Source organism: Homo sapiens, chromosome 4 (genome assembly GCF_000001405.40).
Source record: "Homo sapiens chromosome 4, GRCh38.p14 Primary Assembly".
In the NCBI taxonomy this organism is placed as follows: Eukaryota; Metazoa; Chordata; class Mammalia; order Primates; family Hominidae; genus Homo; species Homo sapiens.
In genome coordinates this window covers 78,416,354-78,430,024 of record NC_000004.12, presented here as the reverse complement: position 1 = coordinate 78,430,024, position 13,671 = coordinate 78,416,354, and the positions used below count along the sequence as shown (strand labels likewise).

The window sequence follows — 13,671 nt, the reverse complement described above, 5'->3', positions numbered from 1 at the left end:
CACAGAGGAAGCCCACAGGTAGGTCAACCCTGACTAGCTGGGTTAGATTTTCTTCCAGAAAATCCTCCTATAAATTGTTTGGCATTTCATTGTTTTGTCCCTTCTTATTTTTCTAAAGCTACAAAGAGCCAAGTGAGCAATGATCACAAAGGTGAGGTGCAGGGTTAAAGTGACAGGCATCCTTGTACACATGGCTTATTTGTAAGTTTGGTAAAAATTAATTTTAGGCCAAACCCCATATGTAGAAACTGGATAAGGATCTCTAGAACACACCTAACAAAAATCACAATACCTACTGTTTATTAGTAAAATGTTCTTGATAAAAGAATACATTTCTAAAGATTAAATTCACTAATTAGTACATATAATTATATACAAAATAACTGGGTCAACTCTAGTTCTTCACAACTTCTGAAGCTTCTTGTGACCTGACATTTCTCCTGCTACTCTTCACTTTCTAAATAGAAACAAGAGCCGCCATTGAAATCCTGCTCCCCTCTATGTTCTTCTCGCCGCTCTATTACTTTATATTTTAGTGATGGCATCAAAGCAAACTCCCGGAAAATCAGTTCTGTGTTGTGTTCCACCACTGAACACTGGCCTCTGAAGGCTTCATTTCCTTCTCTCTGTGCGGCTTCTGTTTGCATAGAAATGGGCAGGAGGAAGGATACAGGTGAGAATGCAGGCAACTTCTGGAAGAAGAGTTTGCTTTTTTGGCAACCATCAAGAGGTTTGAAGAGGGGCAGCAATATGATCCCATTTCCAAAGCCATGTTTCTATCAGGCTCCCAGTTCTTACCTACAGAAGTGCTGCCTCCTGGGCTGACCGCCAGCCGTGGAGCTGTGACCTGGAACACTGGCAGTTGCTGATCACTGGGAAGTAAGTGAATGGTGAGGACCATCTCCGGACTTGTGTGTTCTCCATCTGAAACTAAAAAGGATAAATGCACACACACACAGAGACACACACACACACACAGAGACACGCACACACACACACGAATCAACTTGTAGTCTGGTCCTCTTCAGGCAGTTTCCACAAATATGTAGCTAGAAACTTTTTTGCACTACTTTAACCTTTGAAGAGATGCTTACAAATGAAGAAAGTAAGCAAGCAAGATACTGTGAGCTATTCTTTTTTCTATGGATAAGAAAAAAGATAAAGAACCATAATAACAAAATCATTCTAAGAGGCTACTTTCACAACAAAGGTGATCTTGATAAATGTTAGTGGAAAGGAAGGTAACACAAAATCTGCACCCATAGATGCTACTGGTAAAGGCTTTTGATTATGGAAATATTTCTTGATTCAATTCATTCCCTTATTATTCCAAATAAATATTTTCTTTCATGAACTCTTTTAGAAGTGGCAAGTCTATGTCTCATTAGAAAAGAATACTTTTGGCCGGGCACAGTGGCTCACACCTGTAATCCCAGCACTCTGGGAGGCCGAGGCAGGCGGATCACGAGGTCAGGAGATTGAGACCATCCTGGCTAACACGATGAAACCCCATCTCTACTAAAAAATACAAAAAATTAGCCAGGCATGTTGGCGGGCACCTGCAGTCCCAGCTACTCAGGAGGCTGAGGGAGGAGAATGGCGTGAACCTGGGAGGCGGAGCTTGCAGTGAGCCGAGATTGCACCACTGCACTCCAGCCTGGGCGATACAGCGAGACTTCGTCTCAAAAAAAAAAAGAATACTTTTTAAAAGGACAGACAATACCCATACCAATGTCTCTAATGTCATTAGTTTGGAAGTAAGCAGATCCATTTTTACTTGGTCATGATGCACAATGACATAAATAGTGAACAAAACAGTGACCTTAAGATTTTATTTCCCTGGATTTTTTGACATCCAAGTGAACATCCATCTCTGAGGAAAATACGAGAGCAGAATTGCCTCACCCTTGATGCTTATTTCCACTTTTCCATAACTTAACACCCTATCTTTTCCCCAAAAGCCAGTTTTGGAGGGATATTTGCATCATCAGCTCATCAATGTGTTTATCTGTAGTGGTCTTTAAGAAAACTGCACTGTTAATTATTTTAAATGTGTGATAAGCTTGTCTATGTGTTGGTTATGAGAAACTAGTTTCCTTCCTCACTTTCTTCTGGACTTACTAACAAGCCAGCAAGAATCTTGCTTAAGCAAAGTCAAGCATTGCTCAGCGACGTGTAGTAATGATTCTATTCAAGTTTTAGATTTGTCTTTCCCTTGAGACAGATCTGAAAGATATGGTTAAATTTTATAAGGTACACTCCATGTCTTGGAGATGTTCAGAAACAGCCCTATTGAAGGTAAGACGACATTATCCATGTGAGAATGAAGGTTTTATGGCTCTGGTCATTCAGACAAGTGTCAAAATTATTGTCATTGCTTCTTTACATTTGATCTCCTCTCTGGATCTTCAAAAATAGGCACAGATGGTTCTTAATTATTGGGGATTTGGTGACAAGCATACAAACTTTTTCATAAGTTTTAGTGGATTCAGGATGCTCTGATGTCTCTGTAATCTAAGATAAGAACTAGTTGCAAAATGCAATTTTATTTTACTTTATATTTTACATTAGTTTTATTTCTGAGTGGGAATGTCTTAGTCCATTTTTTGTTGCTTATAACAGAAAACCTAAAGCTGGGTAATTTATGAGAAGAGGAATTTATTTCTTTCACATATGAAGGCTGGGAAGTCCAAGGTTGAGGGGGTACATTTGGTGAGAGCCTCCTGGTGTTGGGGACTCTGTGAAGAGTCATGAGGCAGTGTAGGCAGTCACGTGGCGAGGGGGCTGAGCTTGTGATTTTAAGTCTCTTGTTCTCTTTTTAGAAAGCCACCAGCTCCCCTCCCATGATTAACCATTAATCCACTAATCCATTAATGATTAAACCATTCATGAGGGCAGAGCCTTCAGGTTTCAATTACCTTGTAAAAGCCCCACCTCTCAATACTGCCACATTGAGGATTAAGTTTCAACATGAGTTTGGGAAGGGACATTCAAACCATACCAGGGAGGAAGTCCAGGAAGCTTTCAACATCCTTATTTTACAGGAGGAGGGAAAAGGTACAAAATTAAAGAGCTTTGGTCACATCATACAGCTGTTTAGTGTGAACAAGGCATATTCTTGACTCTGTAAGTAAGTGGAAAAAAGCTATTTTCTGGTGCATATTACATAACTAGCTATCACTTGGGTGCAGGGTTTTGCAAGCAATCATATAAACTTCCAATCAAAATGTCAGCAACTGCATATTTATCCCTCTCTTTAAGGAATGTCTCTAATTTCTTTGAGAAACAGTCAAATGCCTTTTTGGGCTAAATGCCCCTGTGAGCACCACTTGCCTTAAGTGTGTTCCTTGCTCAGAACTGCTCTCCAGAGCTTCTGCATTTGTCCTAAAGTCAGTCAGGTCCCAGGAACATCAGCCTTCCTTCTCATCTTAGCTGATTCACCAAAATGGGTGGTTCTCCTTCATTCTACAAATTAATGTCAGCTCTTGGGCTTTTTCCTGCCTTATTCATTAACTGTCCAATTTAAAATTCTCTCTCACAAAACTCTCCAAAACGACATGGCTTTCTACTAGATACCAAGGGTTTTTCTTCTTTAAAATCAATAAAAAAGGAACATCTGGCAGAAGCAAGATAATTTAAGGTCAGCCCAAGGTCTAGGCCCATGGGACTGTATAATAGGTTCAAGATCATTTAACTTAAAGTCCTAGACAAGTTAATTGTTAACCCTTCACCTACTCAAGCTTTCAGGTAAGAGTTGAGGCTTGGAAACCAAAATGGCATACTACCATGACACTCACTTTTCATAACCAACACACATACATGTCAGACTAAACTAGCTATTCCATGCTCATGCTCTAAGTCAGAAACTTGTATTAAAATCCTGCTTCTACTGTCTACCTGCTGTGGAAATCTGAGCAGATCATCTACTTTTTTTTTGAGACAGGGTCTAACTCTGTCACCCAGCTAGAGTGCAATGGCACAATGATGTCTCACTGCAGCCTCAACCTCCCCAGTTCAAGCAATCCTCCCACCTCAGCCTTCTGAGTAGTTGAGACTACAAGGAATATTACTATGTGCGTGGGCTGGTCTTGAACTCCTGGGCTCAAGGAATCCTCCCTCCTCACACCTCCCAAAGTGCTGGGAGTACAGGTGTGAGCCACTGCACCTGGCCAGGTTATCTACTCTTAATGACTTGGTATCCTTAGGTTTAAAATGCTGAAAATAATATCCATCCTTAAAATATTGTTATAAGAATTAAATAGTACAATTTTTATTGTAAATTGTTTTATAAAATATAAAAATCTGCCATATATCATTACTGATTGTATGAATTATGTAGAGGCCTATGACTAGAAATGAGCTGATACTGGGTTCATATCAACAGTAACACAACACTGAAATTTACTATTGATTCAAGTGCGATTTTTAATCCTCATAGAAGAAAGGAAGAGCTGGGAGTTATAGAGAGGCAACTCTACTGCTAACATTTTTCCCTCCATGAAATGTAACAGTGCGCATGGATGGTTGATTCTAATGGAATAGTCAATCCCATCTAAACAGCAATTTAATGATGCTATTTATGGTCAATCATCCTCACTATAGACCTAAACAAGAAAGAAGCTTATCCTATGGTGGCCCAGCATAGATACCAGGTCTGACTCTGCTTTTGCTGATTGGCATCCTGCTTCTATTGCACTATGAGCTAAAACTAGGAAAGCAGAGGTCTTCCACACCCAAGTTTCTCAACTCGCCTCTGGGTAGTAAGCCTTTTCCCTCCAGTAACAAGGGATTCCATGAATGGCTCTATTCAAGACTTTTATACAACTACTGTTTATTAGCTAAGTATAATATAGTAATGATTATGTAGCAATAATCATTCTTGGAGCTTTATATTTATTATTATTATTATTATTATTATTATTATCCCCATTTAAGAATGAGGCATTCAGGCACAGAGATGTAAGAAACTTTCCCAGGGCAAGCTGAACCCCAGGTCATCTGGATGCAGGGCTTAGGATCTTAGTTACTATTAACTCTTTAATGGATATTAGGACATGTTGAAATTGGGCTTAAACATTAATTTCTTTTTTTTTTCTTGAGATAAGGTTTCACTATTGTCCAAGCTGCAGTGCAGTAGTGCAGTCATAGCTCACTCTAGCCTTGACCTCCTGGGCTCAAGGGATCCTCCTGAGTAGCTAGGACTCCAGGCATGTGCCACCATCATCCAGATAAGTTGTTTTTTTTTTTTATAGACAAGGTCTTGCATTGTTGTCCAGGCTGGTCTTGAACCCCTGGGCTTAAGTGATGCTCCCCCATCAGCCTTCCAAAGTGCTGGACTACAGGCATAAGCCACCATGCCTGGCTCTTAAACATTAACTTTTAGCATCATTGGTAGATTTTTTTCCTATGACTATAAAGTTAAGCTATTACTATTTAACTAACCATTTGTTTATTTTAGAAGAAATTTGTTTTAGAAGAAAAATTATATAATTTTTAAGTAGTTCTTAGAAAATAGCTAAAAATAATGATGATGGGAACAAAAAGAAAGAACTAATAAGGAAAGAAAAAATTTCACTTTCTAGTAAAATTTAGATGAATCTTTACCTGTGAAGTGGAATTTCACTGATTCTGGGAGACCTAAAAGAGTAAGAGAGACAATCAGTATATTAAACACTTTGGGATCAGAGAGAGATAGGAAAGGTACAAAACAAAGGGCAGAGGTTAGGAAGCTAAAGAATGTTTTAATCTAAATTATTCTTTTTTAAGGAAAGATCACCAGGTCATTTGCTAATGTTATGTTGAATTTAATGGTGTCAACATTAATTTTAAATAGCAAAAAGGACCACATAGTGGAATAATTTTATATCGCAGCAGTTAGCGTGATTTATAATACATTCATTCAGAACCCATTTTATCACAGTACATAAAATCCTACAAATCGGTGAATGCGGGTGAGTCGTATATCACTGACAGGGCTCTCAGGTGGGTCAATTCCATTGTAGAACTGAGTGATGCCGAGACATTGATTTACACACTGTAACCATGTGAGAGATTTATCTTGCAGCATTTATCCCATAGATAATACAGCATAGGACTCTGCTCTCTCTGAACAGGCTCTAGGAACTCGGGCGAGTTTAGTGGATGACTTCAACCACGGCTGACATGTTTTCTTTCCCTCTAATCCCAGGATATCCTGTGTTTCTTATGAAGTAGGACTTGTAACATAGGGGTTACAGACCCATAAACATTTTCATGGGCTATTAGTTATCCAGTTACTAAATACTGTGTACAGACACTAAAGAGGAAGCCTATACCCACCGTTAGAGATTTTCAATCTAATTGAGGAGTTAACTGTTTTCTGGGCGATTAAACTTATATTAAATAATGGCAAACATCATTTTAAATGTTTACCATAATCAAAAAAGTCTAAAATTACTTAAACCATGTTCAACTCACCATAAGAAATCACCACTTTTGTGTATGAATAAAGCTACTGTATAAAAAGAATACCCTATATCCATGGTGTTATGTAGTACATACACCTTAAAGATCATAAAGAAATAAGCACTAGTGGCTGGGAGCAGTGGCTCCCAGCACTTTGGGAGGCCAAGGCAGGTGGATCACGAGGTCAGGAGTTCAAGACCAGCCTGACCAATATGGTGAAACCCCGTCTCTACTAAAAATACAAAACTTAGCCGGGTGTGGTGGCACCCATCTGTAATCCCAGCTACTCGGGAGGCTGGGGCAGGAGAATTGCTTGAATCTGGGAGGCGGAAGTTGCAGTGAGCCAAGATCATGCCACTGCACTCCAGCCTGGGTGACAGAGTGAGACTCCATCTTAAAAAAAAAAAAGAAAAAGAAAAGAAAGAAATAGGCACTAATATTTTTGGAATAGTCAAAGGCATAAAAATATTTAAGGGTAGGGACATAAAACTCCTGCTTTCTGGTCAGCAACCTTGATGACTGGATCAAGGGAAGAGATAAGGTGGCAGGGATTAAGGGTATGCTGGGCTTTGTGGAAGGGCACACACTGGCTTTAATGAGAAACTTAGTTATTCTTCCACTCAGACTTTCCTTCCATTAAAAAGGTGTCTTCTGCCAAATTCTGGTTTTATCCTAAAAGGTTGCCTGCATGCCCATGGCTACATGAAACCTTCCCTGAGGTACTGCAGGACCCTCACTGGCCTCCCCTTACCCTAGTGCCATCCACTCTGGCCTCCTCATCAAGTCCATTGACATCACTGCAGTCAAAGAGTTTCTTTTGAAAAGCCATTCCCTAGTTCCCTATACCTGAAAACTTCCACTGGGTTCCTCTTGATGTTGGGATAACAACCCAAATCCTTACAGGCTTCGAGGGTCTGTCAGGTATGGCCTCTGTCTCTCCCACCAGATGCATCCCTGCTCTGCCTGACCCTTCACATTTCAGACACAAGGACACATTCTCTCCTTCCCCAGGCCTCTGTACCTGGAGCTAGTGCTCTTCCTTCAGGGACATTTTCCTGACCATCCAAATACATACACTTTTCCTCGTCAGCTTCTACCCATCCCTCCACTGCCAGTATCTTTACTGAGCTCTCAGTCTAGGTCAGTCTGATTATGTGTAATTCCACCGCTAATCTTTCTCCCTCTTCCTCAGAGCTCTTATCCCAGACTGCAATTAAATATTCATTCCTGGGGTTATTTATCAAATTATCTCTCTATACCTCCCTTAAACCACCAAGAGCAGAATCTATGCCTCTTTTTGCTTGCCACTGTATCTCCAAGGCCTCATTCAGTGATTGGCACATAGGAGGGACAAAATAAAGATTTACTGAAAGTATGCCTCAATGCATGAATAAATGGAAAAAAAAAAGATGGAACTGAGTTCAAGTTACATATTGGCTGACAGGTCTCAAGCTATTTTGAATAGCTAGAAAGCAGGGGCACCAAATGGTCCAGAGGACTGCAGGGAGAGTTAGGGCGAGCCTGTCATGTAGAGCCACAGAGAGCAGTTGGGTGCCTCAAAGCAGAGAGGAGAGCATTACCAGCGAACGAGAAGGCCATGAGCTCCTGGAGGTGGGGTGCTGCCGGGGGAGGGCGGTACATGACTTTGCCCTGGTTAATATCCTCTTGCGTGAAATACCGGATAGGAGAGTGAGGGTGGTCCCGGTGCTCGATGATACCTGGGAGGAAGAGATTTGGCCTCAGCATCAACAGTAATTCTCATCACTGACTGAATGACTAGAGCCATAGAGCCTGCTCTTCTTGTTGGTGGGAGTCTGACATTCTTCGGAAACTGACTGTTCTCAGGTTGCTCTTGGTATGCCACTCTCTGGTTATTTAAGGAAAGGGCAAATCTGAAACCCAAATGAGTATTGACTGAGATTCATGAAATACCAACCACAGTGTGATGGTTAATACTGACTATCAACTTGATTGGATTGAAGGATGCAAAGTATTGATCCTGGGTGTGTCTGTGAGGGTGTTGCCAAAAGAGATAAATATTTGAGTCAGTGGGCTGGGAAAGGCAGACCCACCCTCAATCTAGGCGGACACCATCGAATCAGCTGCCAGCATGGCTAGAATATAAGGCAGGGAGGCTGGGCGTGGTGGCTCATGCCCATAATCCCAACACTTTGGGAGGCTGAGGTGGGTGGATCACCTGAGGTCAGGAGTTCAAGACCAGCCTGGCCAACACGGTGAAACCCTGTATCTACTAAAAACACAAAAATTAGCCGGGTATGGTGGCACGCACCCGTAATCCCAGCTACCCGGGAGGCTGAGGCAGGAGAATCCCTTGAACCCAGGAGGTGGAGGTTGCAGTGAGCTGAGATTGCACCACTGCACTCCAGCCTGGGTGACAAGAGCGAAACTCCATCTCAAAAATAAATATATAAATTAAAAAACTAAAGCAGGTGTAAAAACATGAAAAGACTAGACTGGCTTAGCCTCCTAGCCTACATCTTTCTCCTGTGCTGGATGCTTCCTGCCCTTGAACATCGGACTCCAAGCTCTTCAGTTTTGGGAGTCAAACTGCCTGTCCTTGCTCCTCAGCTTGCAGATGGCCTATTGTGGGACCTTGTGATTGTGGGAGTTAATACTTAATAAACTCCCCTTTATATAAATATATATATATATATATATATATATATATATATATATATATGTCCTATTAGTTCTGTCCCTCTAGAGAACCTTGACTAATACACATAGTAAGATGCATATACTACTGCCCCTACCATAGCCTAGACCAGGTAATTTACCAAAAGTCACAGACTTGGTAATGTAATTATGAGATTCTCTCAGTTGAGTTTCAATTCAAAGGTCCTTGAGAAACTGGCACAGATTGGTCTGCTGGTAAGGCTATAAAAAGATTTTTCTCAATCTAACTTCTTTCCTTCAGAAACTCCTTAGACTCTGCAATAATCCTTGGCTACAGTAACATGGGTCTTGATTATTCTAAGAACTGAATTTGTAATTATCACTCTGCTTGTGATAAATGCTGTAGGGGCTGCAGATTTGCCTGTTGTTTCTAAATTTTTCAGGTATAGAACTAATGTTGTGATCATTTCTCATGTCCTATTCACTCCTTAAAAGGAGGGCACATGTCAGGCTTGATGTTGAACTAATTCACCTTCTGCAGGGCTGAGAGGGCAAAAACCATTCTCCAGAAGACAGCCCAGGCTGCTAGTTTGAAAGGGCTCCATCTCGACTCTGGCAATGTAGGGAGAACCGTTAGCTATGACTTAGCAGATTACAAAGGTGAGGGATGACTTTTAGACTTTTAATTTCTTTGGACTTTGTCAAAAGGATAATGGAATTTAATTTTTTGACTTTTCTCTCTGAGAATTTCATAATGTGACAGGATTACATTTGGGGCAGTGGTTAGTCTTGGGAGAACAGTCCCAGATGTGGGAGCAGAATTATCTTAATAGAACCTGATCTTCTTTCTGTGAGGAGCAGCTGCACCTCTACTGGACCTTGATGCCATTTGGATCTGTGTCCCCACCCAAATCTCATGTTCAATTGTAATCCTCAATGTTGGAGGCAGGGTCTGGTGGGAGGTGACTGGATCACAGGTGCAGTCTCTAATGGTTTAACACCATCCCCCTGGGTGCTGTCCTGGTGATAGTGAGTGAGTGAGTGAGTGAGATTTTAAACAAAATCTGGTCATTTAAAAGTGTGTGACATCTCCCCCACCCGCTTTCCTCCTGCTCTGGCCATGTAAGATGTACCTGCTTCCCCTTCACCTTCCGCCATGATTGTAAGTTTCCTGAGGCCTCCCCATCCATGCTTCCTGTACAGCCTGTGAAACCATGAGCCAATTAAACCTCTTTTCTTTATAAATTACCCAGTTTCAGCTATTTCTTTATACCAATATGAAAATGGACTAACACAGGCATAGGCTTATTAGTTAAGTCCAAAGTCAAGAGATCTAAAGGCTGGTGACTGATGGCAGGGCCCCAAATCTCCTCTGACTATAGTTCTACATTCTCATGTTCCCAGATAGGAGGAGGAGTAATGTATCCAATCGGGGAAGGAACTGAATATGTGTGGCTCAGCCCTCTTTGGGCTCCCTGGCAGAACTCCTTATCCTGAACATATGCTCATTTTTGTCCTTTCTCCTGTCATAACCTTACTAGGGCAGGCTCTGATCCTACAGAGACAATGGCTATGTGTCCAGTTCTGCCAGTACATGGGAGGGGAGCTCAACCCAGTAGCATGTACATTCTCCATCCAGCATGCTATGCTATGTCAGTGCCAAAGCCATCACATTCATTGCCTTCTGACCATAGTCTTTTTCTCTCTCAATTAGTTCTAAACTAGAAGACAGGAGCGAGAAATATGAATAATCATTATTCCTTGAAACCTCAACAAATATCTCTATGTATACAAGCAGACAAAACTCCAGAGATATTAAGACTGGTAAAAAACTAGAAGATAATAATATCACTCAAAAGATCATTTACTGCACATCTTACCTTGATTTGGATGCAGAGGTAGAGTGATGTTGTAGACAATCTTTCCACTTGGCTTCTCAGAGTTTATGAAGGAGAGGGAATGAGGCTGAATAACAGTCAGGCCATCTTCTCTAGCCTAAACAAAGTTTAAGAAGGAAGAGGAACACATGGTATGAAAAACAAAAGCCAGAGGCAAAAACAGACCTTATTAAGAAAAAAAAATTGCTCTGGGCTTTTAAATTAGTCACACTTAGTCAAATTTTCGAGAGTTCAAAAGAAGGATCTGGTCTCTTGCATTGCAGATTTTTCCTAAGCCTCCCCTCCTAGGTTTAGAGAGTCCTTTTCAGATTTTCTTGTACTCTAGTCTCCTCTCCCCCAACTGCCCGCAGGGTTACGCCAGTGCACGCGGTTGGGATTCTGCTATTACTTTTTTCCTAGGTGGAACACGTTTGCAAATGAGGCATCCCAGCTGGCTATTCTACTATCTTGCTACTCACAGCTGGCTCATTGTGTCTCTCCTCTAACTTTTTATTTTCTTTAAGAGACAGGGTCTGGCTCTGTCACAGGCTGGAGTGCAGTGGTCATAGCTCACTGCTGCTCCTCTGACTTAATGGGCTAAGTTGAATCTGGCTAGAAGTTCTAAGGACTCAGCTGAGATATTGAAGTCTCCGCCCCAAGAAGTTCTTCAGAGCATTGTCCCCCAGGTCCCCAGTTTTGCTAATGGAAACTGTGATGCCTTCTGGTAACAAAGGGCTAAAAGTGAACCCACCCCAAACACCAAAAAAGGCTCACCATTTGCATTCAGAGGTTTAAGAGGTATTTGTTTATTAAAGCACATACAATAGCCAGTATTTCCCTTTTTCTCCATTCTACTGGTCAAAAGAACTAGATACTGCTTTTTCTCTTCCAGCTTTCAGGACCCAGTGAATGAATGAGGCAATGTTAATCAGACGGCTGATGCGAATGTAGCTTTTACTATCCCTTCCCCTGTGTACATCCATAACTCACTAACAGTGGCAACACTTAAAAAACAAAAAGGAGAGCTTCAGACTCCCATTGCTAGGCATGGTGGTGGGTTGGGGACAGCAGCAAAAACAGTGTGGAGAGGAGAAAAGGGAAACTAGCCTGAGCTGGGGCCCCTCGCCTGGGTCAGGCATGCTGTTGTAAAACAGAACAAAAACATCCAGCTCATCATGGGCTCTTCCTAACTGACCCCTGAAGGTGGGTTAGAGTGTGACATGCTCTCCTGCTCTTTGAAGCCCTCCTTCTTTCAGATGGAATCTCCTCATTTAGAAAGGGATTAAGCAGGGCTCAGTAATGCTCATAGAGGAGGGTGTGGTGTTCTTCCTTTAACCATGAAAAGATTGTAGGTTGCAGTTGCTTTGTAATTGTCCCCAAGGCGTATTTGTCCTGGGGAGAGGCAGAATTTGCAGGTTAGAACAATCCCCCTATAGTAAAGAGTCATATTTCAGGCCCTTGCTCAGGTCTGGAATGTAATGAGCAAGGAAAATTAGAATTGCGAATAGCAGCTGGTCTCTCACCCTAATATAAAACAAGTAAGGACAACAAATTAAAACTATATGCCCTATATAAGGTGTTACTTTCCAATACATGTTTGTACACACCTATAAACATGTACACATGTGGGTACAACTAACAGACAAAAAAGTATAGGCTCTGTACCTTGTTTGGTACTGTTTGCTACCTTTTAATATCAAAACTATCATAATAACTGAACATTCTCAGAGTACCATGCGATATTCTGAAAATCTAGATGTCCTTAAAATAATAAAGTGATAAAAAGAGGGAATTATTGTGGACATGGCACTGTGGGAAGGGAAATATGTTCCAGCCAAGATAACAGTCTATTTTGAAATTTATTGATACTATTTTTCTCCTAATAGAAATAGATACTACATATAAAAAGGACTGATTCCATGAGGAAAGCAATATTGAGTTTGAGATATATCAAAGTATAATCAATTTTAATATTAGCTACTTAGAATGTTCAATATTTATCAATTAAACATAGTAAGAAATGAGAGATTAAACTTCATAGAAATCATTGCAAAAGACACTTTAAAAATAGTATATCTGTCAACAAAAGAAGATTACAGAATAATTCTTTTCATAATGGCCATGTTACCTCTGAATATATCCAGAGTCCAACTGTTTCGCCCACCCCACTGCCACCACTCTGCTGAGGGCCACAGTCTCTCCCCAGGATTAACCCAGTGGCCTCCCAATTGCTCTCTTGCCTCCCCTACACTCCCTTTCAGCACAACAGCCAGTGTGATCCTTTCACAAGGACATGAGGCCTCTGCTCAACACCCTGCAATGTCTTCCCATTTTAATCAGAAGAAAAGCTAAGTTCCTACAATGACCTATGAAATGCTGCGTGACCTGCCCCAGCCCACACACTTATCACATCTGTGAATTCACTCACTCTGCTCCAGCACACCCTTCACCAGCATATCCCAGACTCAACTTGTCATGCTTCCCACCAAAAGTCCTTGTACATTCCTGATCTTGAGGAATGGTACCTCTATATCCTCAGACACTGGGTGTTTCACCCGCCTCCCATATCTAGGAAGCCACTGTGTCTCTAAGTCTCTCTTAATGTATCCCTCTTTTTTTTTTTAACCATCATAACTATTTTTTCAGTGTACAGCTCTGTAGTGTTGACTATATGCATACAGTTGTGCAATGGATCTCTAGAACTCTCCCACCT

General features: G+C 41.3%; 1 protein-coding gene across 2 annotated transcripts in view; it reads right to left on the bottom strand.

Moving 5' to 3' along the window:
• Nucleotides 1-13,671, bottom strand: part of FRAS1 (Fraser extracellular matrix complex subunit 1) — a 486,947-nt gene that overhangs the window by 114,245 nt on the left and 359,031 nt on the right. For both annotated transcript variants that reach the window (NM_025074.7, NM_001166133.2), the window contains exons 33-36: nucleotides 10,962-11,076; nucleotides 8,025-8,162; nucleotides 5,605-5,637; nucleotides 799-930 (exon numbers count right to left, since the gene is read on the bottom strand). In NM_025074.7, the coding sequence (NP_079350.5) occupies nucleotides 799-930; nucleotides 5,605-5,637; nucleotides 8,025-8,162; nucleotides 10,962-11,076 (418 nt within the window). The remainder of the gene's footprint in view (nucleotides 1-798; nucleotides 931-5,604; nucleotides 5,638-8,024; nucleotides 8,163-10,961; nucleotides 11,077-13,671) is intronic.